This window comes from Homo sapiens, chromosome 19, assembly GCF_000001405.40.
Source record: "Homo sapiens chromosome 19, GRCh38.p14 Primary Assembly".
Taxonomy (NCBI): domain Eukaryota; kingdom Metazoa; phylum Chordata; class Mammalia; order Primates; family Hominidae; genus Homo; species Homo sapiens.
The window spans coordinates 44,215,925-44,243,040 of NC_000019.10; the positions used below are offsets into that span (position 1 = coordinate 44,215,925).

A 27,116-nucleotide genomic window follows, 5' to 3' on the forward strand; every position below is an offset into this window, starting at 1 on the left:
TTGCAGTGAGCTGAGATTGTGCCATTGCACTCCAGCCTGGGTGACAAGAGCGAAACTCTCTCTCTAAAAAAAAAAAAAAAAAAAAAGATGTACCTTTAAAAAAAAAAAAAAAAAAGCTATGTTTTTATAGGTCTACTTTTTATTATAACCACCCTCAAAATTTGTCATTATAGTTCTTTGGCTTTTTTTAAACAAAGATTATTATATTACCAATATAGTCACAAATGTTTTCTTACCATTGCTTTTTGCAGTCCATCTTTTAGGGTTCACATGGTTATAAATTCTCTTCATTTTTTTTTTCAGCTAAAATATTGTTTCTTTCTCATGTAAATAATCATCTAGTTGAACATAGAATTCAGGTTGACAGTTTCTTTATTTTGGAGGTAATATTCATTTGTTTTAAATCTCCATTCTGTTACCCTATTTCTGTCAATCTAATTGTTATTTCTTTTAGGTCAACTATATTTTCTTTCTAGGAGCTTTAAGGTTGTTGTTTCCAGTTCTTTATGTTCGTTTAGTCTTTTGCATTTCTGAGTTTTATTGTGATTTGTTTAGGGTATGTTTATTTTTATTTATACTGTTTAGAATTTCTATATGCGAACTTGTATCTTTTACCAATTGTGTGAAATTCTCAGCAATTGCATCTTGAAATTAAAACCTCTCAGTCATTCCCTCCATCCTGCCTTCTCTTCTCCCATTCCTGTTAGACAAATACGGAAGCCTCTCAATTTATCTTTCATGTTTCTTGATTTTTCGTTTGTGCTTTATCTTTCTCTTTGCTGTGTGTTTTTCTCTGTGCACATAAAATAAAAGAGATGTACCAATGATCGTTTCCAGGCTTCATGAAGTAAATTGACCCAGAATGATACGTTTTAGAAAACTGATAACAGTGTCAGTAAAATATTACTAGCTGGGCAACAAATTACTAAAAAGAAACCTTAAGTCAGATTTCGGCTTTTCAGAAATTAAAGGTGACTTTCATAGGAGAGCAATATTTGCAAGGCAAGTGTGTGATGCAAAGTATCATCTGCTTGTTTTTTTTTTTTTTTTTTTTTTGAGACAGAGTCTCACTGTGTCATCCAGGTTGGAGTTCATTGGCGTGATCTTGGCTCACTATAACCTCCACCTTCCAGGTTCTAGCAATTCTCATGCCTCAGCCTCCCAAGTAGCTGGGATTACAGACCCGCACCACCACGCCTGGCTGATTTTTTTTATTTTTGGTAGAGATGAGGTTTTGCCGTGTTGGCCAGGCTGGTCTCAAACTTCTGACCTTATGTGATCCTCCCTCCTTGGCCTCCTAAAGTGCTGGGATTACAAGCATGAGCCACTGTGCCAGGCCTGGCTAAACAGCAAGAAGCCATGAAGAAGCTTTTTTGTAACTATAAGAGAAAGGGACTCCTGGTTCTTAGAACTCTCCATCTACTTATTTAATCCTTGGAAAAACCCTATGAGGGAGGTACGATTTATGATTCTTACCATATCCTCATTGTACACATAACAGAAGTGAGGCACAGAGAGGGTTTTTAATATCCCCAAGGTTACACAGCTGGTAAGTATCATTTCTAGGAATTAAACCCAGATACTTGACTTGAGAGCCCTCATATGTTGTTACATTGCCTCTCGTTTCCTGCTGTCTCTGCCATCAGAAATCCTTGTAGCAAGGATGCTGCACTTGTGCAGACTGTTCACTGCCCAATGGCACTGAACTATCATGCCATTTAGTAGCTGGAATACAGTCCATGTTCTGCTTACCAAGCTGTATGTGGCTATACCTGTCTGAATGTAGGGCTATTTCTCTAATTTCCTCATATGTACACATGGGCTAACAGCAGGCTTGTGTCTCATGGCGTCTTTGGTCTCCCCCAGTTATGCCATCTCAGAACTATGACCTTCCCCAGAAGAAGCAGGAGAAAATGACCAAGTTTCAGGTACGTAAAGGATTCCTTGCTGTCTTTTAAAATGTGATTTATTTCTCAAAGATAACAGATTTATTTTTTCTCTTTCTTGGAAAGGTTAGTGGGAAACAGATATTCAGGACATGTGGTATGCTGACATGTATGTGTTTTTTTGTTTTAGTTTATCACCTTTACTATTTTACAAAACAGTGTTTGAAAAAATAATAGAAGCTTTAATCAGAAATAATCTATGCTACTACCCTGCTTATGAACTAGCTTTTTTCATTTTCCCATGTTCCTTTTTCATACACATTTTGCAATACTTGAGTAGATGAAATTTTCAATTGTGCATTCTCCACTTAATTGCATCACCTGCATTGTAAGTGAGTACATCATATGCCATTGAATTGCAGTGCCCTTAAAAGACAACAAAAACTATTTCTTATTTAGCCTTTCAGAAATTCAGAAATTTTAAGAATTTTACTACTTTAAAGTAAATCCAGTGACTTTTTTCCCTACATATAAAAACAATTCCTTCAAAAGAAATTCTGGTGGAATTCAATATTATTTGTCCTTAAAGTTTTAGGAACTCTGCATTGAAGAGGTTTATGTCTCAGTTTCATGTCAGTTCCCTCAGGTGTTTTGTAAACAGAACATCTAAAGAATGACATGGTGTAATTTTATTAGATGCTTTCAGAGAAGAAGAGCTATATATTTTTCCCGTTTATGTTTTTATCACTCATTTATTTCTTGTATGAATTTATTTCATCAAAGTAACTACATGTACGTAAGGTCTAGTAGTACTTAGATGTCTTGCTAGCCCTTTCCATCTGTCATTGCATTTTTCAGATGTGAGGATGGAGATGATTTATTTGCATTTTAAATATGAAGAAACAGGTTATGGGAACATTTTATAACTGCCCCAAATTTCCCAGGTAGCTGACTCATTGGACACTGAAGCTTCCAACTATTAGGAATATCTGGCATTCTATTTTCATGTAAAGGCAGACAGAACAAAAGAGTTTTCCATTCACAGAGATGAGCACATATGATAGAAGTACCTGATGTTACCTTTTTATTCTTTTGAGACAGAGTTTAATTCTTGTCACCCAGGCCGGAGTGCAATGGCATGTTCTTAGCTCACTGCAACCTCTGCCTCCCAGGTTCAAGCGATTCTCCTGCCTCAGCCTCCCAAGTAGCTGGGATTACAGGCATGTACCAGCACGCCTGGCTAATTTTGTATTTTTATTAGAGACGGGGTTTCACCACGTTGGCCAGGCTGGTCTTCAACTCCTGACCTCAGATGATCCACCCACTTCGGCCTCCCAAAGTGCTGGGATTATAGGCGTGAACCAGTGCACCTGGCCCTGATATTACCTTTTGGAGGATAGACCCCAACAATGCCCCTCATCCAGTTTCCATCTCAATTACTGTCTCTTCTCTAGTTTTGTCTCTTAGTCATTCCATGAACGTAGATGCTCAAGCACAGTTTTTATGTAAGTGTTTTAAATTTCCCTACAGCAAAAGCTATCAGGTATGATGGTAAGAGACAGCAGCAAACCGGTGGCATATACTTAAACATTAGGTAAAGGTCTAATAGCTTAAATTCCTGTTAAGATTAGTAATATAGAGAAAATTCCAACTGGAATATGAGCAAAAGAAATGAATAGGAGTGTCATAAAGAAAAGAAATTTATGAAAAAAACTTCACTAATAATTTAAATGTGTGAAAATGTTAATAAAATAGCTTTCTATTTATATATTGGTTTTACTTATATTGTCAATGACTTTTTTAGAAAAAGGAACTGAGTCCTATTTAGCCGGGGTCTAGAGATTCAGGAATGCTTGTACTGTTGCATGAAGAGTGAACTGGGAAAATCTTTGGAGAGGAAAATCTGCCATTACGCTTTCAAAACTTTTTTTTTTGGATGTTGATTTTCTTTTATTTATTTATTTATTTATTTATTTATTATTATTATACTTTAAGTTTTAGGGTACATGTGCACAATGTGCAGGTTTGTTACATATGTATACATGTGCCATGTTGGTGTGCTGCACCCATTAACTCGTCATTTAGCATTAGGTATATCTCCTAATGCTATCCCTCCCCACTCCCCCCACCCCACAACAGTCCCTGGAGTGTGATGTTCCCCTTCCTGTGTCCATGTGTTCTCATTGTTCAATTCCCACCTATGAGTGAGAACATGCAGCGTTTGGTTTTTTGTCCTTGCGATAGTTTGCTGAGAATGATGGTTTCCAGTTTCATCCATGTCCCTACAAAGGACATGAACTCATCCTTTTTTATGGCTGCATAGTATTCCATGGTGTATATGTGCCACATTTTCTTAATCCATCTATCGTTGTTGGACATTTGGGTTGGTTCCAAGTCTTTGCTATTGTGAATAGTGCCAGAATTAACATATGTGTGCATGTGTCTTTATAGCAGCATGATTTATAATCCTTTGGGTATATACCCAGTAATGGGATGGCTGGGTCAAATGGTATTTCTAGTTCTAGATCCCTGAGGAATTGCCACACTGACTTCCACAATGGTTGAACTAGTTTACAGTCCCACCAACAGTGTAAAAGTGTTGCTATTTCTCCACATCCTCTCCAGCACCTGTTGTTTCCTTTTTTTTTTTAACTTTAAAAAAATGTTAATAGAAAAAAAATGCCCAGATAAAGATACCGATCACAGTATCCACATCTATACAATGATTGATCCAGCTGTGGCCCTCCCCTCTCACCCAGCCCCATGTGGCTTCCTTTGAAACTGCAGACTGGAGATGACAGTGGTGAATTCTAGTCCTACTCACTGGATATCAGCATTTCTTTTTTTTAAAATTTTATTATTATTAAACTAAGTTTTAGGGTACATGTGCACAATGTGCAGGTTAGTTACATATGTATACATGTGCCATGCTGGTGTGCTGCACCCATTAACTCGTCATTTAGCATTAGGTATATCTGCTAATGCTATCCCTCCCGCCTCCCCCAACCCCACAACAGTCCCCAGAGTGTGATGTTCCCCTTCCTGTGTCCATGTGTTCTCATTGTTCAGTTCCCACCTATGAGTGAGAACATGTGGTGTTTGGTTTTTCGTCCTTGCGATAGTACTGAGAATGATGATTTCCAATTTCATCCATGTCCCTACAAAGGACATGAACTCATCCTTTTTTATGGCTGCATAGTATTCCATGGTGTATATGTGCCACATTTTCTTAATCCAGTCTATCATTGTTGGACATTTGGGTTGGTTCCAAGTCTTTGCTATTGTGAATAGTGCTGCAATAAACATACGTGTGCATGTGTCTTTATAGCAGCATGATTTATAATCCGTTGGGTATACACCCAGTAGCCATAAAAAATGATGAGTTCATGTCCTTTGTAGGGACATGAACATACATGTGCATGTGTCTTCATAGCAGCATGATTTATAGTCCTTTGGGTATATACCCAGTAATGGGATGGCTGGGTCAAATGGTATTTCTAGTTCTAGATCCCTGAGGAATCGCCACACTGACTTCCACAATGGTTGAACTAGTTTACAGTCGCACCAGCAGTGTAAAAGTGTTCCTGTTTCTCCACATCCTCTCCAGCACCTGTTGTTTCCTGACTTTTTAATGGTTGCCATTCTAACTGGTGTGAGATGGTATCTCATTGTGGTTTTGATTTGCATTTCCCTGATGGCCAGTGATGGTGAGCATTTTTTCATGTGGTTTTTGGCTGCATAAATGTTTTCTTTTGAGAAGTGTCTGTTCATGTCCTTCGCCCACTTTTTGATGGGGTTGTTTGCTTTTTTCTTGTAAATTTGTTTGAGTTCATTGTAGATTCTGGATATTAGCCCTTTGTCAGATGAGTAGGTTGCAAAAATTTTCTCCCATTTTGTAGGTTGCCTGTCCACTCTGATGGTAGTTTCTTTTGCTGTGCAGAAGCTCTTTAGTTTAATTAGATCCCATTTGTCAATTTTGGCTTTTGTTGCCATTGCTTTTAGTGTTTTAGACATGAAGTCCTTGCCCATGCCTATGTCCTGAATGGTAATGCCTAGGTTTTCTTCTAGGGTTTTTATGGTTTTAGGTCTAATGTTTAAGTCTTTAATCCATCTTGAATTAATTTTTGTATAAAGTGTAAGGAAGGGATCCAGTTTCAGCTTTCTACATATGGCTAACCAGTTTTCCCAGCATCATTTATTAAATAGGGAATCCTTTCCCCATTGCTTGTTTTTCTCAGGTTTGTCAAAGATCAGATAGTTGTAGATCTGTGGCGTTATTTCTGAGGGCTCTGTTCTGTTCCATTGATCTATATCTCTGTTTTGGTACCAGTACCATGCTGTTTTGGTTACTGTAGCCTTGTAGTATAGTTTGAAGTCAGGTAGCATGATGCCTCCAGCTTTGTTCTTTTGGCCTAGGATTGACTTGGCGATGTGGGCTCTTTTTTGGTTCCATATGAACTTTACAGTAGTTTTTTCCTATTCTGTGAAGAAAGTCATTGGTAGCTTGATGGGGATGGCATTGAATCTATAAATTACCTTGGGCAGTATGGACATTTTCACGATATTGATTCTTCCTACCCATGAGCATGGAATGTTCTTCCATTTGTTTGTATCCTCTTTTATTTCATCGAGCAGTGGTTTGTAGTTCTCCTTGAAGAGGTCCTTCACATCCCTTGTAAGTTGGATTCCTAGGTATTTTATTCTCTTTGAAGCAATTGTGAATGGGAGTTCACTCATGATTTGGCTCTCTGTTTGTCTGTTATTGGTGTATAAGAATGCTTGTGATTTTTGTACATTGACTTTGTATCCTGAGACTTTGCTGAAGTTGCTTATCAGCTTAAGGAGATTTTGGGCTGAGACAATGGGGTTTTCTAGATATACAATCATGTCATCTGCAAACAGGGACAATTTGACTTCCTCTTTTCCTAATTGAATACCCTTTATTTCCTTCTCCTGCCTGATTGCCCTGGCCAGAACTTCCAACACTATGTTGAATAGGAGTGGTGAGAGAGGGCACCCCTGTCTTGTGCCAGTTTTCAAAGGGAATGCTTCCAGTTTTTGCCCATTCAGTATGATATTGGCTGTGGGTTTGTCATAGATAGCTCTTATTATTTTGAGATATGTCCCATCAATACCTAATTTATTGAGAGTTTTTAGCATGAAGGGTTGTTGAATTTTGTCAAAGGCCTTTTCTGCATCTATTGAGATAATCATGTGGTTTTTGTCTTTGGGTTTCTTTATATGCTGTATTACATTTATTGATTTGCGTATGTTGAACCAGCCTTGCATCCCAGGGATGAAGCCCACTTGATCATGGTGGATAAGCTTTTTGATGTGCTGCTGGATTTGGTTTGCCAGTATTTTATTGAGGATTTTTACATCAATGTTCATCAAGGATATTGGTCTAAAATTCTCTTTTTTGGTTGTGTCTCTGCCTGGCTTTGGTATCAGGATGATGCTAGCCTCATAAAATGAGTTAGGGAGGATTCCCTCTTTTTCTATTGATTGGAATAGTTTCAGAAGGAATGGTACCAGCTCCTCCTTGTACCTCTGGTAGAATTCTGCTGTGAATCCATCTGGTCCTGGACTCTTTTTGGTTGGTAAGCTATTGATTATTGCCACAATTTCAGAGCCTGTTATTGGTCTATTCAGAGATTCAACTTCTTCCTGGTTTAGTCTTGGGAGGGTGTATGTGTTGAGGAATTTATCCATTTCTTCTAGATTTTCTAATTTATTTGCGTAGAGGTGTTTGTAGTATTCTCTGATGGTAGTTTGTATTTCTGTGGGATCAGTGGTGATATCCCATTTATCATTTTTTATTGGGTCTATTTGATTCTTCTCTCTTTTTTTCTTTATTAGTCTTGCTAGCGGTCTATCAATTTTGTTGATCTTTTCAAAAAACCAGCTCCTGGATTCATTAATTTTTTGAAGGGTTTTTTGTGTCTCTATTTCCTTCAGTTCTGCTCTGATTTTAGTTATTTCTTGCCTTCTGCTAGCTTTTGAATGTGTTAGCTCTTGCTTTTCTAGTTCTTTTAATTGTGATGTTAGGGTGTCAGTTTTGGATCTTTCCTGCTTTCTCTTGTGGGCATTTAGTGCTATAAATTTCCCTCTACACACTGCTTTGAATGCGTCCCAGAGATTCTGGTATGTTGTTCTTTGAAACCAATGAGAACAAAGACACATCTTTATTTCTGCCTTCATTTTGTTATATACCCAGTAGTCATTCAGGAGCAGGTTGTTCAGTTTCCATGTAGTTGAGCAGTTTTGAGTGAGTTTCTTAATCCTGAGTTCTAGTTTGATTACACTGTGGTCTGAGAGACAGACAGTTTGTTATAATTTCTGTTCTTTTACATTTGCTGAGGAGAGCTTTACTTCCAACTATGTGGTCAATTTTGGAATAGTTGTGGTGTGGTGCTGAAAAAAATGTATATTCTGTTGATTTGGGGTGGAGAGTTCTGTAGATGTCTATTAGGTCCACTTGGTGCAGAGCTGAGTTCAATTCCTGGGTATCCTTGTTAACTTTCTGTCTCGTTGATCTGTCTGATGCTGACAGTGGGGTGTTAAAGTCCCCCATTATTATTGTGTGGGTGTCTAAGTCTCTTTGTAGGTCACTCAGGACTTGCTTTATCAATCTGGGTGCTCCTGTATTAGGTGCATATATATTTAGGATAGTTAGCTCTTGTTGAATTGATCCCTTTACCATTATGTAATGGCCTTCTTTGTCTCTTTTGATCTTTGTTGGTTTAAAGTCTGTTTTATCAGAGACAAGGATTGCAACCCCTGCCTTTTTTTTGTTTTCCATTTGCTTGGTAGATCTTCCTCCATCCTTTTATTTTGAGCCTATGTGTGTCTCTGCACGTGAGATGGGTTTCCTGAATACAGCACACTGATGGGTCTTGACTCTTTATCCAATTTGCCAGTCTATGTCTTTTAATTGGTGCATTTAGCCCATTTACATTTAAAGTTAATATTGTTATGTGTGAATTTTGTCCTGTCATTTTGATGTTAGCTGGTTATTTTGCTCGTTAGTTGATGCAGTTTCTTCCTAGCCTTGATGGTCTTTACATTTTGGCATGATTTTGCAGTGGCTGGTACTGGTTGTTCCTTTCCATGTTTAGTGCTTCCTTCAGGAGGTCTTTTAGGGCAGGCCTGGTGGTGACAAAATCTCTCAGCATTTGCTTGTCTGTAAAGTATTTTATTTCTCCTTCACTTATGAAGCTTAGTTTGGCTGGATATGAAATTCTGGGTTGAAAATTCTTTTCTTTAAGAATGTTGAATATTGGCCCCCACTCTCTTCTGGCTTGTAGAGTTTCTGCCGAGAGATCCGCTGTTAGTCTGATGGGCTTCCCTTTGTGGGTAACCTGACCTTTCTCTCTGGCTGCCCTTAACATTTTTTCCTTCATTTCAACTTTGGTGAATCTGACAATTATGTGTCTTGGAGTTGCTCTTCTCGAGGAGTATCTTTGTGGCGTTCTCTGTATTTCCTGAATCTGAATGTTGGCCTGCCTTGCTAGATTGGGGAAGTTCTCTTGGATAATATCCTGCAGAGTGTTTCCAACTTGGTTCCATTCTCCCCGTCACTTTCAGGTACACCAATCAGACGTAGATCTGGTCTTTTCACATAGTCCCATATTTCTTGGAGGCTTTGTTCGTTTCTTTTTATTCTTTTTTCTCTGAACTTCCGTTCTCGCTTCATTTCATTCATTTCATCTTCCATCACTGATACCCTTTCTTCCAGTTGATCGCATCGGCTCCTGAGGCTTCTGCATTCTTCATGTAGTTCTCGAGCCTTGGCTTTCAGCTCCATCAGCTCCTTTAAGCACTTCTCTGTATTGGTTATTCTAGTTATACATTTGTCTAAATTTTTTTCAAAGTTTTTAACTTCTTTGCCATTTGTTTGAATTTCCTCCTGAAGCTCGGAGTAGTTTGATCGTCTGAAGCCTTCTCTCAACTCGTCAAAGTCATTCTCCATCCAGCTTTGTTCCATTGCTGGTGAGGAGCTGCATTCCTTTGGAGGAGGAGAGGCGCTCTGCTTTTTAGAGTTTCCAGTTTTTCTGCTCTGTTTTTTCCCCATCTTTATGGTTTTATCTAGTTTTGGTCTTTGATGCTGGTGATGTACAGATGGGTTTTTGGTGTGGATGTCCTTTCTGTTTGTTAGTGTTCCTTCTAACAGACAGGACCCTCAGCTGCAGGTCTGTTGGAGTTTGCTAGAGGTCCACTCCAGACCCTTTTTGCCTGGGTATCAGCAGCGGTGGCTGCAGAACAGCGGTGGCTGTAGAACAGCAGATATTGGTGATCTGCAAATGCTGCTGCCTGATTGTTCCTCTGGAAGTTTTGTCTCAGAGGAGTACTCAGCTGTGTGAGGTGTCAGTCTGCCCCTACTGGGGGGGTGTCTCCCAGTTAGGCTGCTTGGAGGTCAAGGACCCACTTCAGGAGGCAGTCTGCCGGATCTCAGATCTCCAGCTGCATGCTGGGAGAACCACTACTCTGTTCAAAGCTGTCAGACAGGGACATTTAAGTCTGCAGAGGTTATTGCTGTCTTTTTGTTTGTGCCCTGCCCCTAGAGGTGGAGCCTACAGAGGCAGGCAGGCCTCCTTGAGCTGTGGTGGGCTCCACCCAGTTCGAGCTTCCAGGCTGCTTTGTTTACCTAATCAAGCCTGGGCAATGGCAGGCGCCCTCCCCCAGCCTCGCTGCCTCCTTGCAGTTTGATCTCAGACTGCTGTGCTAGCAATCAGCGAGACTCTGTGGGCGTAGGACCCTCCGAGCCATGTGCAGGATATAATCTCCTGGTGTGCCGTTTTTTAAGTCCATTGGAAAAGCGCAGTATTAGGGTGGGAGTGACCTGATTTTCCAGGTGCCGTCTGTCACCCCTTTCTTTGACTAGGAAAGGGAACTCCTTGACCCCTTGTGCTTCCCAAGTGAGGCAATGCCTCACCCTGCTTTGGCTCACACCCAGTGTGCTGCACCCACTGCCCTGCGCCCACTGTCTGGCACTCCCTAGTGAGATGAACCCAGTACCTCAGATGGAAATGCAGAAATCACCCGTCTTCTGCATTGCTCATGCTGGGAGCTGTAGACCGGAGCTGTTCCTATTCAGCCATCTTGGCTCCACCCCTCAAAACTTTTAAAGTAAATATTCTATGACTTTGCAGTTGCTACTTCTTGGCCATGAGCTCTGTAAAAGGATCTTTGTAGTATTGGTTATAAGTAAAAATCTGTAATTAATTGTACATTATTTGGATTGGTTAGAGATAAATCTTCAGTTCCAAGGAATCCTGTTGTATGTAGTCACAAAATAGGACAAAAGAGATGATAAAGATATGCGTTGTTCGAGTTTATTGAGCATGTATGGTGTGCTAGGCACTTCTAAGTGCTTGACATATATTCATTCATCTGATCCTTTCAAACACTTTATGATCTATTTATTTTAATTCTAAAAATTTATTTATTTTAAGACAGTGTCTCACCCCTGTCACCCAGGCTGGAGTGCAGTGGCGCCATCTTGGCTCACTGCAACCTCCGCTTCCCAGGTTCAAGTGATTCTCCTGCCTCAGCCTCCTGAGTAGCTGGGATTACAGACGCACATCACCACGCCTGGCTAATTTTTTTGTATTTTTAGTAGAGACGGGGTTTCAGCATCTTAGCCAGGCTGGTCTCAAACTCCTGGCCTCAAGTGATTTGCCCGCCTCGGCCTCCCAAAGTGCTGGCATTACAGGTGTGAGCCACTGTGCCTAGCCTGAAAATTTATTTTTAAAAATTGAGACAGGGTCTCACTCTGTTGCCCAGGCTGAAGTGCAGTGGCACAATCATGGCTCACTGCACCGTCAAACTCCTGGGCTGAAGTGATCCTTCTGTGTCAGGCTCATACACCTTATAATTTAGATACAATGATAAAGAAGAGGAAATTCAGTTAGTGAGAGATTAAGGAATTTGCCCAAGGTCCTATAACTAGTAAAAGGCAAAACCTTGAAATTTGAACCTGGCCAGACTCCAGAGCCAGTGCTTTAAATTAAGCAGCTGTGCATCCTGTAGTAGGTGGATGTGACATGTGCCTTGAAAGCACAGGAAGAGCTATATACCTGTCCAGGGGGTTGCTGAAGGCCTGTGAACTTTGCAAACGTTAAAAACAATGATAGGGCCAGGCTCAGTGGCTCACACCTATAATCACAGCACTTTGGGAGGCCAAGGCGGGCAGATCATTGGAGGTCAGGAGTTTGAGACCAGCCTGGCCAACATGGTGAAACCCCGTCTCTACTAAATAAATACAAAAATTAGCCGGGCATGGTAGTAGACGCCTGTAATCCCACCTACTTGGGAGGCTAAGGCAGGAGAATCTCTTGAACCCGGGAGGCGGAGGTTGCAGTGAGCAGAGATTGCGCCACTGCTCCAGCACGGGTGACAGAGTGAGACTCCATCTCAAAAAAGAAAAAAACAAAAAACAGTGATAAACTACAGGCTTTATGGGGATGAGCGTAGGAGATAGTGAGACAGGGAAAACTGTAACAGCTGAAAATTGACTGAGATCTCTTGGAATCTATAACAACTTTTTTGTGGTGCTCTTTTCCTTCTTGATGCCACCCTTCTTCTAGTGAAGGTTGGTTGTAAGATTGAGGTTACATGTGTTTGATATTGTAGGAGGCTGTGACATTCAAGGATGTGGCTGTGGTCTTCTCCAGGGAGGAACTGCGACTGCTCGATCTTACCCAGAGGAAGCTGTACCGAGATGTCATGGTGGAGAACTTCAAGAACCTGGTTGCAGTGGGTGAGGACAGGCACTCTCTGACCCTGAACTTCAGTTCCCTTGAGAATCTCTTTGCTCTCAGGTGTTTAAGGGTTTGGACCTTTTAAAATGGTTCTTTGCTCTTGAAGACAAAAGGTTTTCTAATCCCTGGGAAAACAGGATAGGTTTTTCTGGTCTTTCTGCTCAGGCAAAATTCTGTCCTTTTAAATTGCTGGTTCTCAACCATGGGTGATTTCGCCCCCAGAAGATATTTGGCAATGTCTGGAAATGGTTGTCACACCTGACAGAGGGGTGCTATTGGCATTTTGTGGGTAGTATCCAGGAATTCTGCAAAATCTCCTACAGTGCACAGGACAGTGCCCCCAACAGAGAATTGGCCAGTCCAAAATAGTAGTGCTGCAGTTGCAAAACCCTGTTTTAAATGAACCGTAAATGGACACATTAGCTTCTATGCTTTATCTTTCAAATACGTTGTCTTTCAAATGAAACCCATCAATGCATTAACTTAGTGCACTGTACTGGCTTTTTTTTCAATGAAATAAAACAGATAAGGATAGAAAATATCAGAGCTTCTTATCAGGAACTGCTCACATTGCAACAAAAACTGACAATTTTCAGTGAATGGTGTGAGATACAGCATTGCAAATGTGATGAAAACAGACATTAGCCAAGTATAACTTGAGAGAGAGATATATTATATATATATGAACTAGGCTACAACCTAAATTTCTTATTATAGTTCATGATCTTAAAACATCTTAAAATAAATCACTCTAGAGGCCGGGCATGGTGGCTTACGCCTTTAATTGCAGCAATACGGGAGGCCAGGGTGGGTGGATCACTTGAGGTCACGAGTTCAAGACCATCCTGGCCAACATGGTGAAACCCCATCTCTACTAAAAATGCAAAAATTAGCCGGGTGTGGTGGCAGGTGCCTGTAATCCCAACTACTCGGGAGGCTGAGGCAGGAGACTTGCTTGAACCCTGGAGGCAGAGGTTGCAGTGAGCCGAGATTGTGCCATTGCACTTCAGCCTGGGCGATAGAGTGAGACTCTGTCTCAAAATAAATAAATAAAATAATAAAATATCACTATAGAGGTTGTGAGGCTTATAGGGTTCAGACAAAAATGTGTTTTAGTTGTGTGTTCATCTTAAATACATAAAAATCTACATTTTCATAGGGCATCTTCCCTTCCAACCAGATATGGTATCCCAATTGGAAGCAGAAGAAAAGCTTTGGATGATGGAAACAGAAACCCAAAGAAGTAGGTATTCTGGTGAGAACCCTGTGTCTGTTCTTTCAGGTACTGGTTAGTCTGCATCTTACCATGTCCATGACCTCCCTGGTCTGAGTGTTAAAATCTTTCACCTGGATTATAACAATAGCTTCCATGCTGGTCTCCCCACCTCCTCCCTTGTGCTCCTATAATCTGCTTTCTAAATGGTAGCCGGAGTGGTTCTTTTTTTAATCTTTATTTTTTTGAGACAGGGTCTCACCCTGTCACCCAGGCTGGAGTGCAGCAGCATGATTGTAGCTCACTGCAGCCTCAACCTCCTGATTTCAAGTGGTCCTCCCACCTCAGCCTCCTAAGTAGCTAGGACTATAGGTATATATCATGATACCTGGCTAATTTTTTATTTTTTGTAGAGATGAGGTCTTGCTGTGTTGCCCAGGCTGGTCTCAAACTCCTGGACTCAAGCAGTCTTCCCACCTCGGCCTCCCAAAGTGCTGGGATTACAGATGTGAGTTGCCGCACCCGGCCCAGAATGGTTCTTTAAAGAACACATGAGATGATGTTATTCCTCTGCTCAGAAGCCTTCACAACCTTCCCATTTCACTCAAAGTCCTTGTACTGAACTGCAAGACCCTACCTGGTCTCATCTCACCAAGTTTCTCTTTGATCTCCCATTCCTTTCCCTTTGCTTAGATCATTTCAGCCATGCTGGCCGCCGTTGGAGTATTTGTTAAGCATACCAAGTTCCCTTCTCTTCCATGGCTTCTAATTAGCTCTCCTCATTGCCTTGGTGGAGAGGCTCCCCAGCACCTTACTTACTGCACTCAGGTCATTCCTCAAATGTTATATCATTAGAGAGGCCTTCTATGTTTAAATTTACCATTTTAATTTAAAATACCATCTTCCTTCCATTTTCCATCCCCTTACCTTTCCTTTCTCTCCTTCTTTGCTTTCTCTTGAATTTGCATATTCCTCAGGTCTATTGACTTAAAAATTAAAAGTAAGCTGGGTATGGTGGTACATACCTGTAATCCTGGCTACATGGGAGGCTGAAGTGAGAGGATCACTTGAGCTGAAGAGTTCCAGACCAACCTGGGCAACATAGTGAGACTCCATCTCTACAAAAAAAAAAAAAAAAAAATATATATATATATATATATATATATATCTTAGCCAGGCATGTTAGCATACATCTGTAGTCCCAGCTACTTGGGAGGAGCATCAAGTGAGCCCAGGAATTTGAGACCAACCTGGACAACATAGTGAGACCTTGTCTCCCACACACACAAAATTAAAAGTAAAAATTAGATATTCCTAGATGATGTGAATTTTTTTTTTTTTTGAGACCGAGTCTTGCTTGCTCTGTCACCTAGGCTGGAAAGCAGTGGTGCCATCTTGGCTCACTGCAACCTCTGCCTCCCGGGTTCAAGTGATTGTCCTGCCTCAGCCTCCGAAGTTACTGGGATTACAGGTGACCACCACCATGCCCAACTAATTTTTGTATTTTTAATAGAGATGGGGTTTCACCATGTTGGCCAGGCTGGTATTGAAGTTCTGATCTTACCCACTTTGGCCTCCCAAAAGTGTCACCCAGGCTGGAGTGCAGTGGCATGATCTTGGCTCACTGCAACCTTCGCCTCCTGGGTTCAAGCAATTCTGCTTTAGCCTCCCGAGTAGCTGGGATTACAGGCGCCTGCCACCACACCCGGCTAATTTTTGTATTTTTAGTAGAGATGGGGTTTCACCATGTTGGCCAGGCTGGTCTCGAACTCCTGAGATCGTGGTCCACCTGTCTCAGCCTCCCAAAATGCTGGGATTACAGGCATGAACCACCATGCTCAGCCAAAGGGTTTGTTTTTATAAGAATTCTTAACAAAAAACTTACAGAGAATGGAGACAAGTAGATATCACATCCCTTTTACTCAGAGTTAGCTCATAGATTGAGAGCACACCAGTGTGATTAATTATTTGGGAACACTGTCTTCTAGTGAATGTCTAACATAATTAGTAATTTCTAAGACATTTTTGGACATGTAAATATTCAAACCTACTAACCTTAGAAGATAAAAGCTATTCACAGTTGTTGGAATGTAGAACTTCACTATCAAAAATTATCAGTGGCAATATGGCAGGTATTATAGTTCATCAGTTTCCCTGTATCAATTTCAAGTTGGCTTTACTCATTGGTGAAAACTGCCTTATCCATACAGCTGACTTCCCACTTTCCCATTTCCCCTTCCCTCTAATACCAAAACAGTTATATAACCTACATACAGTAGTTCTTTAGCAGTTTTGAATTGGACATTTCCAGAAGTCCAGAGGCACTGACATACCTGTGGAGTTGAGGTGAGTCCTGATTAGGCAAAGAAAATTCCAGAATTTCTAAATTGGGTTTCCAGTGTAATTTGCATCCACATGTATTAATCTTAGCTTCTAGCACCAGCAATGTGAGAAGCACTTTACATGTTGCAGTGACTTCTGACACCAAACACCTGAAGTTAGGCCGGACTTTCAGAGTAAGGGCATAGTTTTCCACAAGACTGCTCTCTATATCGCTCTAAGTTTATATATCGCTCTAAGTTTAGGGATTCCCAGATAATTTTGCTCACCTCTGACCAAGTAGCTACAAATTTGGGAGTTCCCGTGATAATTTGTTAGAATGACTGACAGAACTCGGGAAGGTGCTGGACTTACAGTTTTATTATAGCAAAAAAGATACATGTTGGAAGCAGCAAAAGGGAGAGATATATAGGGTGAAATCTGGGTGGCTTCCCTCTTTCTTCCCTTTTGTAAGGACTTGTGATTACTTTAGGCTCATTGGATAATCTAGGATAATCTCCTTAAGAGCTTTCATTTAATCATATCTATAAATTGCTTGTTTTTTTGTTTTTTTTTTTTGTAGACGGAGTCATGCTCCGTCGTCCAGGCTAAAGTGCAGTGGTGCAATCTTGGCTCACTGCAACCTCTGCCTTCTGGGATCAAGCGATTCTCATATCTCAGCTTCCCTAGTAGCTTACAGGTGCCTGCCACCATGCCAGGCTAATTGTTTTTTTAGTTTTTTAGCGGAGACGGGGTTTCACCATGTTGTGGGCCAGGCTGGTCTCGAACTCCTGACCTCAAGTGATCCACCTGCCTCGGCCTCACAAAGTGCTGGGATTACAGGTGTGAGCCACTGTGCCTGGCCTGTAAATTCCTTTTTGCCATGTACATTAACTATTCACAGGTTTGAGAGTTCAGGCTGTGGACATCTCTTGGGGGTGGGGTGTCATTACTCAGCCTGCCATATCCAGAAATGTGTAGACACCTGTTGCTATTTTTTTTTCAGTTTGTATTATTAGAATGTAACATTTCATTTAGGCAAATTATTTGATTAGGACTTGGTAAACCACCCCCTAAACATTTTAAGCCAAGGTCTTTCATACGTTTCTAACCATGACCCTCAACATAAGTATAATTTTACATCTTGACTAAGCATAAATATGTTTATATTTATGTGTATATTTACCAACTAAAACAAGTATTTCCTATAGTAGTACTCTTATTGCTTTTAATACACTAAGCATGTCTTATTCTGTTTTTTGTTTTTTTGTCAGTCACAAGTTACATACTTGGTTTCATGGTGCACTAATGCATTGCAACAATTTGAAAACCCTTGTTAACAGTGGGGATAAAGCAATGAAGAAAACAAAATGCGTGTTTTTTTCATGACCGTTACATTCTACTGGGTCTAAAGAGACAAAGGAAAGTATATAGTAAATCAAATAATAAGTACTGTGGGGAAAAGTCAAGCAGGGTAATTGAACTGGAAAGAGTCGAAGGTGTATGGCAGGCCGGGCGTGGTGGTTCAGCCTGTAATCCCAGCACTCTGGGAGGCCGAGGTGGGCAGATTACTTGAGGTCGGGAGTTCGAGACCAGCCTGGCCAACATGGCAAAACCCCATCTCTACTAAAAATACAAAAATTGGCTGAGTGTAGTGGCATGCGCCAGTAATCCCCGCTACCCGGGAGGCTGAGGAGGAGAATCTCTTGAACCCAGGAGGTGGAGGTTGCAGTGAGCTGAAATCACACCACTGCACTCCAGCCTGGGCGACAGAGCGAGACGCTGTTTTTTAAAAAAAAAATGGCGTATGGTGGTACCGTTGATTTATTTTTACATCGTGTGTTATGGAAGGCATCACAGATAAAGTAACATGTAACATGTGAGCAGAGACCTGAAGGGAGCGAGAGAACAAGCAAGGCTCCCTGCTTTCTGGGAGGAAGTTTCCAAGCTGAACATACCTCTCCCTCTCTTCGTCTTCTGTGTTGGCTTTGAGAGTTTGCACTATGCTCTATTTCCTCTCCGAAGTTCTCTCCTAGTTATACAAGATTAGCTTTCCCTTTTCCACTTGTCCAGAGACCTGGATTTCTACCAGGTTTTAGAACAATCATATTATTCCAACTGCCTTCCCAAATCTGTTGGAGAATAATTTCTATCAGGATCTAAAATAGTATTTCATGCCTACAGTCTGAACTTTTCTTAACCTAACTAGTTATTAGAATCCCGCTTGTCATAAGCCTACTGAGGAAGAGGTGAGTAGGCTGTTCATTGATGTTATTGTAGGTTGGAATATGGATTTTCTTTTTGTTGCCCTGCAGCTACCTGATTTTAGCTTTTAGCTCTCATATTAAACTGTTAGACTTACGGTTCTACATGGATCATGTTTATACTTAGTGAATGGGAGCCTGTTGACCCCACTCTTCGTTTACACCTGTATGAAAAACATGTCAAAAGAATACACGATGCTGTAAGGACAAGGTCACCTTTCGCCTGGTTTATCAAGGCTTTCTCCCATGGCCTAAGTGTGAAATTCTGATATTTCTGAAGAAAGCATTTACTGCCCTCATCTCTAAATATTGCCTTTTTTCTTTTTTAATAGGCAGCAAGCATCAAAATAAGATGGAAACACTCCAAAAATTTGCATTAAAATACCTTTCAAATCAAGAGCTGTCCTGCTGGCAAATCTGGAAACAGGTTGCAAGTGAATTAACCAGGTGTCTTCAGGGGAAGAGTTCCCAGTTATTACAAGGTGACTCTATTCAGGTTTCTGAAAATGAGAACAATATAATGAACCCTAAAGGAGATAGCTCTATTTATATTGAAAATCAAGAGTTTCCATTTTGGAGAACCCAGCATTCTTGCGGGAATACATATCTGAGTGAGTCACAGATTCAGAGTAGAGGTAAGCAAATTGATGTGAAAAATAACCTGCAAATACATGAAGACTTCATGAAGAAATCACCATTTCATGAGCATATTAAAACTGACACAGAACCAAAACCCTGCAAAGGTAATGAATATGGCAAAATCATTAGTGATGGCTCCAATCAGAAATTACCCTTAGGAGAGAAACCCCATCCATGTGGTGAGTGTGGAAGGGGCTTCAGTTATAGCCCAAGGCTTCCCCTTCATCCGAATGTTCATACAGGAGAAAAATGCTTCAGTCAAAGCTCACATCTGCGAACTCATCAGAGAATTCACCCAGGAGAGAAACTCAATAGATGTCATGAATCTGGTGATTGCTTCAATAAGAGCTCTTTTCATTCTTATCAATCTAATCATACAGGAGAGAAGTCTTATAGATGCGACAGTTGCGGCAAGGGATTCAGTAGCAGCACGGGTCTTATCATTCATTACAGAACTCATACTGGAGAGAAACCCTATAAATGCGAGGAATGTGGTAAATGCTTTAGTCAAAGTTCAAATTTTCAGTGCCATCAGAGAGTCCACACTGAAGAAAAACCATACAAATGCGAAGAGTGTGGTAAGGGCTTCGGTTGGAGTGTTAATCTCCGTGTTCACCAGAGGGTCCACAGGGGTGAGAAGCCCTATAAATGTGAGGAATGTGGTAAGGGCTTCACTCAGGCTGCACATTTTCACATCCATCAGAGAGTCCACACTGGAGAGAAACCCTACAAGTGTGATGTGTGTGGTAAGGGCTTCAGCCACAATTCACCATTAATATGCCATCGGAGAGTCCACACAGGAGAGAAGCCATACAAGTGTGAGGCGTGTGGGAAAGGCTTTACCCGTAATACAGATCTGCATATTCATTTCAGAGTTCACACGGGAGAGAAACCCTATAAATGTAAGGAGTGTGGTAAGGGCTTCAGTCAGGCTTCAAATCTTCAAGTCCATCAGAATGTCCACACTGGGGAGAAACGATTCAAGTGTGAAACGTGTGGGAAGGGCTTCAGTCAGTCCTCAAAGCTTCAAACCCATCAGCGAGTCCACACTGGAGAGAAACCATATAGATGTGATGTGTGTGGTAAGGACTTCAGTTATAGTTCAAATCTTAAACTACACCAAGTAATTCACACTGGAGAAAAACCATATAAATGTGAGGAATGTGGGAAGGGCTTCAGTTGGAGATCAAATCTTCATGCACATCAAAGAGTTCACTCAGGAGAAAAACCCTATAAATGTGAGCAGTGTGATAAGAGCTTCAGTCAGGCCATAGATTTTCGGGTACATCAGAGAGTCCATACTGGAGAGAAGCCATACAAATGTGGTGTCTGTGGTAAGGGCTTCAGTCAGTCCTCTGGTCTTCAATCCCATCAGAGAGTCCACACGGGGGAAAAGCCATACAAATGTGATGTGTGTGGAAAGGGCTTTAGATACAGTTCGCAGTTTATATACCATCAGAGAGGCCACACTGGAGAAAAACCTTACAAATGTGAAGAGTGTGGGAAAGGCTTTGGTAGGAGCTTGAATCTTCGCCATCATCAGAGGGTCCACACGGGAGAGAAACCCCATATATGTGAGGAGTGTGGTAAGGCCTTCAGTCTCCCCTCAAATCTTCGAGTCCACCTGGGTGTTCACACCAGGGAAAAACTCTTTAAATGTGAAGAGTGTGGTAAAGGCTTCAGTCAGAGTGCACGTCTTGAAGCCCATCAGAGAGTCCACACTGGAGAAAAACCATACAAATGTGACATATGTGATAAGGACTTCCGTCACCGTTCACGTCTTACATATCATCAGAAAGTCCATACTGGTAAAAAGCTTTAGAAATGAGAAATGTGTTACCAACTTTTGTCTGAATGCACATCTTCAAGTTTTTGGCTAGTCCATGCTGGTGGTAAACCCTGTAAAACTACTGAGAGTGGAAGGGGGTTTGTTCACACTTGGAATCTTTCTAACAAATCCATCAAGATGATAACACAGAACCATGAACAGGAATAGAACTCGTATTTAGGGGAGAAATAGGGCTGGTGGCTCTCTTGGTAAGATCTAGTTAATATAAATGATCACCTTTCATTGTGAATATATGCCTGAAGATAATGTGTGGAAGGATATTTGCCATATGCTAACTGGTTTTTTGGCCAGGGAGAGTTTTGGGTTATTATCCCTTTTCTTTAATTTTCATTTTATACTTACAGTGATCATTATTTTCATAAAAGCTGTAAAGCTATGAAAAATGAATAAAATTACTAAAAATTTTCTGTAGCTAAGGACTCATGATTCTTTTATATGGTATATAGGTGTAAAATTAAGGAATATATCCCCAGAGATGAATCTTTGATCTTCAGAAGTAAATTTATATCTGCTGTAGAGGTGTATTAAAGGATAGTAGTATGGCCGGGCACGGTGGCTCACGCCTGTAATCCCAGCACTTTGGGAGGCCAAGGTGGGCGGATCACAAGGTCAGAAGATTGAGAACATCCTGGCTAATATGGTGAAACCCCATCTCTACTAAAAATACAAAAAATTGGCCAGGCATGGTGGCACGTGCCTGTAGTCCTAGCTACTCGGGAGGCGGAGGCAGGAGAATCGCTTGAACCCAGGAGGTGGAGTTCGCAGTGAGCCAAGATTGCGCCACTGCACTCCAGCCTGGTGACAGAGCGAGACTCCATCTCAAATAAATAAAGAAGAAAGAGAGAGAGAGAGCAAGAGAAAGAGAAAAGAGGATAGTCGGTGCATCATTGTTTTAGTAGCAAACATAGAAATACTTGGATTGCCAAAGTATTTTGTGCTTTACCAATCCAGTGGCACACTATGCAGACATCAAATGGGAAAAGGTAAATTTTTAGCTGTGGATATTGGAAGATGTTCAGAATATATTAACTTGAAAAACAAAATGTGAGATTTTTATGTGATCCTATTTTGTAAAAACGCATAGATGAATGGGTATTATAGTTCTCTCTAAATAATGGGATTTTACTTTATGTATATTTTTATATTTCTTTAAACTTATTTTGAAATAATTTGAAACTTTCAGAAAAATTACAGAAATTATATAAAAGCTCCCATATACTCTTTACCCAGATTCACCAGTTGTTAAGATGTTTGAATTATTCTCTCAATAAGTATGAGCGTGTATATACTGATACTTATACATACTAAACGCATTTATATATAAAGTTTTGCCATATGAATATGTTACAGACATCCTTCTCCCTACACTAAATACTTAAGTGTGCTTTCCTAAGAACAAGGATATCTACTTAGTTACAGTACAACATTCCAGTGATTTATTTATTTAGAGACAGGGTCTCATTCTGTTGCCCAGGCTGAGTGCAGGGTGGTGATTATAGCTCACCGCAGCCTTGAACTCCTGGGCTCAAGCAATCCTCCCCACTCAGCCTTTCAAGTAGCTGGGACTGCAGGCGTGGACCACCATGCCCACCTAATTTTTAAGATTTTTGTAGAGATGGGCTCTCGCTATGTTGTCTAAGCTGGTATCGAACTCTTGGGCTTAAGTGATCGTTCCACCTCAGCCTTCCAAAATGCAAGGTTTACAGGCATGAGCCACTGCACCCAGAAAGAAAATTTATTATTGATACATAACACTATGTAACCTACAGACCTTATTTAAATCTTAAAATTATCCCAATAATATATTTATTGTTTTTCTGCTCTAGAGTCCAAAGATTACACATTGCATTTAGACTCCTTTAATCTGAGTTGCTACCTCTGTTTTTAATGACCTTGATATTTTTGAGATTATTTTGTAGAATGTCTCTTAATTTGGATTTGCCTGAGGTTTCCTTACAATTGGATTTAAATTACACATTTTTTTCCCATGAGGACTCTGTAAGTGGTGTGCAGCACGTGAGGAAACGAGGTATGTTTGTACCTTTATAGGTGATGTTAACTTGGAACACTTGATTGGGGAGGGCGGTGCTGGGTTTTTCCACTGCGAAATTACTATTTTTTTCTTTGTAATTAATAATTACAAAGGCAACTCCTGGGGAGACACTTTCTGACTCTAAATAGCTTGTTTTTCAGTAAATTTTCCTCCACTAGTTTAAGCATTCTGTAAGTCTGGTCTAAATCAGTAATTGCTCTGATGGTGCGAAAGTGTGATATATTCAACTTTCATCATTCCTCCAACACTTGTTAGATTGTTGTTCTACTCTAAGGAAGTTTCCCTTCTGTCCTGTTTGCCCATCATGTATTTTTAAATAAATTGGAGCACATCTTTACTCTGACACAATACAGTGTTCCAAGCTCATCTTGTACCCTTCCTGCACCATCCATGGAATTTGCTGTTTCTTTGAGAACTCAGATTCTTCTGATTGGGGGATGGTAGTTAAACATCAAGATCTGGGTAATAGCTGTGCCTTTTTTTTTTTCCCTCTAGGAAGGAGGGGAAAGAGTTATACAGATAGGAAGAGAAGTAGAAAGGTAGAAAGAATTAATGATGAGTTCCTGCTTTTATCTCTAGTTCTTAAATTAATATCATAGTGTTTTTTTTCTAGCCTTACCCCCATTCTATGTTGCATCTTCATTCTTCAAGAATCAGAAATTTGTCTCCCAGTATCATTCATATATTTACTGGGGAATGTGGACATGCATCCAACTAGAACTTGGGGGTTCTGTCTTTCAGAGAGAACGGGAGTATTGGATGACTGATGCCAGAGATGATTTTTGAATGGCATAGTCTCCCAAACATTATAATTTTTCCTATTCTCAGGGTATTGACCCTTTAAACCAAATAAAATGTTCCCGTAGGGCCATGAAGAAAAGTATCTGATAGAAATATCCAAAGATAGATATATTCAGATGAGAGCCTTCCAGTCAATGTTTCCTTGCAGATAGTGTTAAGGAATGGTTTCTGGTGAAGTGTTGCGGAGCTCTCCTAGCCTGTGAGTGTCACGGATGCCATTGATTAGCATTGCTTTACTTTATTTACCTCTCATTCTCTGAACCTTCTCAGAGGTAGTTTGACAAAGTTCTCAAAGCACATCCCTCTACTGCTTCTTGAGAGGACCAAGGCATTTTAGGAGAAACTAGTGTTAACGAGACCAAGTCAGAATATTGGTAATAAAGTAGTAGAGTATAATAGAAAGCAGACTGTCAGCCAGGCACAGTGGCTCACACCTATAGTCTCAACTACTCAGGAGGCTGAGGTGGGAGGATCACTTGAGCCCAGGAGTTTGAAGCTGCAGTGAGCTGTGATTGGACCACTGCATTCCAGCCTGGGTGACAGTGAGACCCCATCTTGAAAAAGCCAACTGGGTGCAGTGGCTCCCGCCTTTAATCCCAGCACTTTGGCTGGCCGAAGTGGGTGGATCACCTGAGGTTAGGAGTTCCAGACCAGTCTAGTCAACATGGTGAAGCCCTGTCTCTACTAAAAATACAAAAAGTTAGCCAGGCGTGGTGGTTAGCCCCTGTAATCCTAGCTATTCGGCTGAGGCAGGAGAATCAATTGAACCCAGCAGGTGGATGTTGTAGTGAGCTCAGATCGTGCCATTGCACTCCAGCCTGGGCAACGAGTGAAACTCCATCTCAAAAAAAAAAAAAAAAAAAGAAAAGAAGAAAAGAAAAAGCCAACCCTGGAACCCTGGAATTAGACTTTCTTGCTCAGTGTAACCATTTGCTAGTTGCGTAACTGCAGGCAAAATGCTTAACCTCTCTATTCCTCAATTTGCTTGTGTCTTCAATGTTTGAGGATAATATCTTTTAGTTCTGTGGTAAGGGTTAAAACTATATGCCTGGCATATAGTAAGACCTGTATAGTGTTAACTATTATTTTCAACATAGATGTCACTATTACTAGATTTCTGCTAATTTATATTTGAAATTTCTAAGGAAGGGATCAGTAAACTATAGCCTGCTGGCCAAATCTAGCCTGTGTCCTCTCTTTGTACAACACGAGAGCTGAGATTTTAAATGTTTAAAGAGTTGTAAGAAAAAAAAAATGCTACAGAGACCATCTGTGGCCCGCAAGACTTAAAACATTACTGTCTGGCCCTTTTTAGGAAGTTTGCCGTTCTCTGATCTAAGCAAATTTTAGTTTCTCAGAAGCCTTGCTTCTGAGATACATACATACTACAGATATGTATTATCTCAATTCAGTACTTCTCAAATCTTTTAGGTTTAAAAAAAATGCTCGAATTGACATAAGAAAACACAAGCATATTTTTTACAGAAAATTGGGACCATATATGAAGCAATGTGCTGTGTGTCCAATGTGTAGTTAATCTGCAATTCTATGAATAAATGTTATTGGTTTTTTTTTTTTTTTTTGGTAAGTAAACTTAGGTTTTACAGGTTTAAGTACCTTCCCTAAGTCAGTCAGTAGTGAATGTCACAACCACAGTTTGAACTCAGGTCTATCTTGCTGACTTCAAAACTACTCTTAAATGCTATGTGCATAAATTACATTGCAAGGCCAGAACTCCTAAGTTTACATTCTGTAGAGCATGCATCCCATTTCACACAAGTAAAGTGCAAATATAAGAATGGAATATCCTTCAAAAAGAACGAAATTTGCCTAGGAAGTCTTTTGCTCCATTTCGACTCAGGCTTTTCCTATACTAAGTCAATAATCTAGGCAAGCTTGTCCAACTTGCAGCCCAGGACAGCTTTGAAAGTGGCCCAACACAAATTCATAAACTTTCTAAAACATGAGATTGTTTTTGCAAATTTTTAAAGCTCATCAGCTATTTTATGGGTGACCCAAGACAATTATTCTTCTAGTGTGGCCCAGGGAAGCTAAAAGATTGGACACCTCGATCTAGGAGATATGTTTTGTATTTCCTATGTCCTTGATTACATTTCTGACCTCGTTGATGCCATTAATTTTTAAATATTTCTTCTTGTTTGATGATTAAAAATCCAATACTGAAAAATTAACTCAAATGTTGAAAAAGAACAGCCATGTTTGAAGCTTTAACCTAGCAGTTGTAACCTAACTGAATGTACCTCTTCCAACTGTAATTTTGCAGTCCACTTGAGGAAGGAATCCTTTTTAGGACTTACCTGAAACTATTTACTTGGCAGTTCCTCCACAAAATCAGGTTTATTTAAAAATATGCAGCTTTTTCCAGGCATGGTGGCTCATGCCTGTAATCTCAGCACTTTCAGAGGCTGAGGCAGGAGAATGGCTTGAACCCCGGAGTTCAAGACCAGCATGGGCAACATAGTGAGACCCCATCTCTACAAAAAAATCAAAAAATTAGCCGGGCATTGTGTCACGTGCCTATAGTCCCAGCTACAGGCTCAGTGGCTGAAGTGGGAGGATTGCTAGAGCCCAGGAGGTTGAGGCTGCAGTTGTGATGTTGCACTGCTCTCCAGCCTGGGGCCCTGACTCAGAAATAATAATCTTAAAAATGCAGGTTTTAGGATAGCCATTCACTTGAAAATTCTAAGTTGGAGAGCCTTTTGACAATGTATACCCATATTTCTCTTCTCTTTTTCCCTCCCCCTTTTAAGTTGTGAGGTATAATTAACATACAATAAGCTGTACATATTTAAAGTGTTCGATTTTTAAAGTTTTAATATGTGTATCTTTGAAACCATCACCACAATCAAGATAGCAAAAATATCCATCATTCTTCAAAGTCACCTCATATCTCCCTTTTAATCTCCATTCTGCTCCTCCCCAATCCCCAAGCAACCACTGATCTGCTTTCTGACACTGTATAGTTTGCATTTTCTACAATTCTAACAAATGGAAACTGTACAGTATATACTTTTTTTCCTAACTTCTTGCAGAAAGAGATTCATCCTTGTTGTTTGTATAGAATTAATTCTTTATTACTGAGCATTACTGTAAGTGTGTAGATATACCATAATTTTTTAAAAAAAATCCATCTGTTGATGGGGATTTGAGTTCTCAAACTTTTGGCTATTATAAATGCTATGACATGCTATGAACACTTGTTTGTGTACAAGTGTTTGCATGGAGATATGTATAGTCTAGAAATATATATATATATACCATATATAACTCGACTATATATTTTATCTTGGATAAATAGCTAGGAATTG

At 40.4% G+C, this 27,116-nt stretch overlaps 1 protein-coding gene and 1 long non-coding RNA gene across 25 annotated transcripts in view; one reads left to right on the top strand and one right to left on the bottom strand.

The window, feature by feature from the left end:
* The window catches only part of ZNF227 (zinc finger protein 227), a 29,722-nt gene extending 8,378 nt beyond the window's left edge, over positions 1–21,344 (top strand). For 6 of the 23 annotated variants that reach the window (XM_047439377.1, XM_011527289.3, XM_017027266.2 and 3 more), the window contains exons 3-6: positions 1,867–1,928; positions 12,522–12,648; positions 13,809–13,892; positions 18,778–21,344. In XM_047439377.1, the coding sequence (XP_047295333.1) occupies positions 1,869–1,928; positions 12,522–12,648; positions 13,809–13,892; positions 18,778–20,906 (2,400 nt within the window). In that variant the 5' untranslated portion in view covers positions 1,867–1,868 and the 3' untranslated portion in view covers positions 20,907–21,344. Of the gene's footprint in view, positions 1–1,866; positions 1,929–12,521; positions 12,710–13,808; positions 13,893–18,777 lie in introns of those variants that run through there. The other 17 variants (XM_047439383.1, XM_047439382.1, XM_017027267.2 and 14 more) reach the window with 7 other exon arrangements.
* On the bottom strand, positions 11,208–18,920 carry LOC124904726 (uncharacterized). Of its 2 annotated transcripts, none has more exons than XR_007067266.1 (3): positions 18,831–18,920; positions 14,888–14,980; positions 11,208–13,039 (listed from the first exon to the last, which is right to left on the bottom strand). It is a non-coding gene; the product is annotated as an uncharacterized LOC124904726 (long non-coding RNA). The 2 variants fall into 2 exon arrangements; XR_007067267.1 differs by having other exon boundaries at positions 12,648–13,039; positions 14,251–14,980.
* Positions 21,345–27,116: the final 5,772 nt, after the last annotated feature.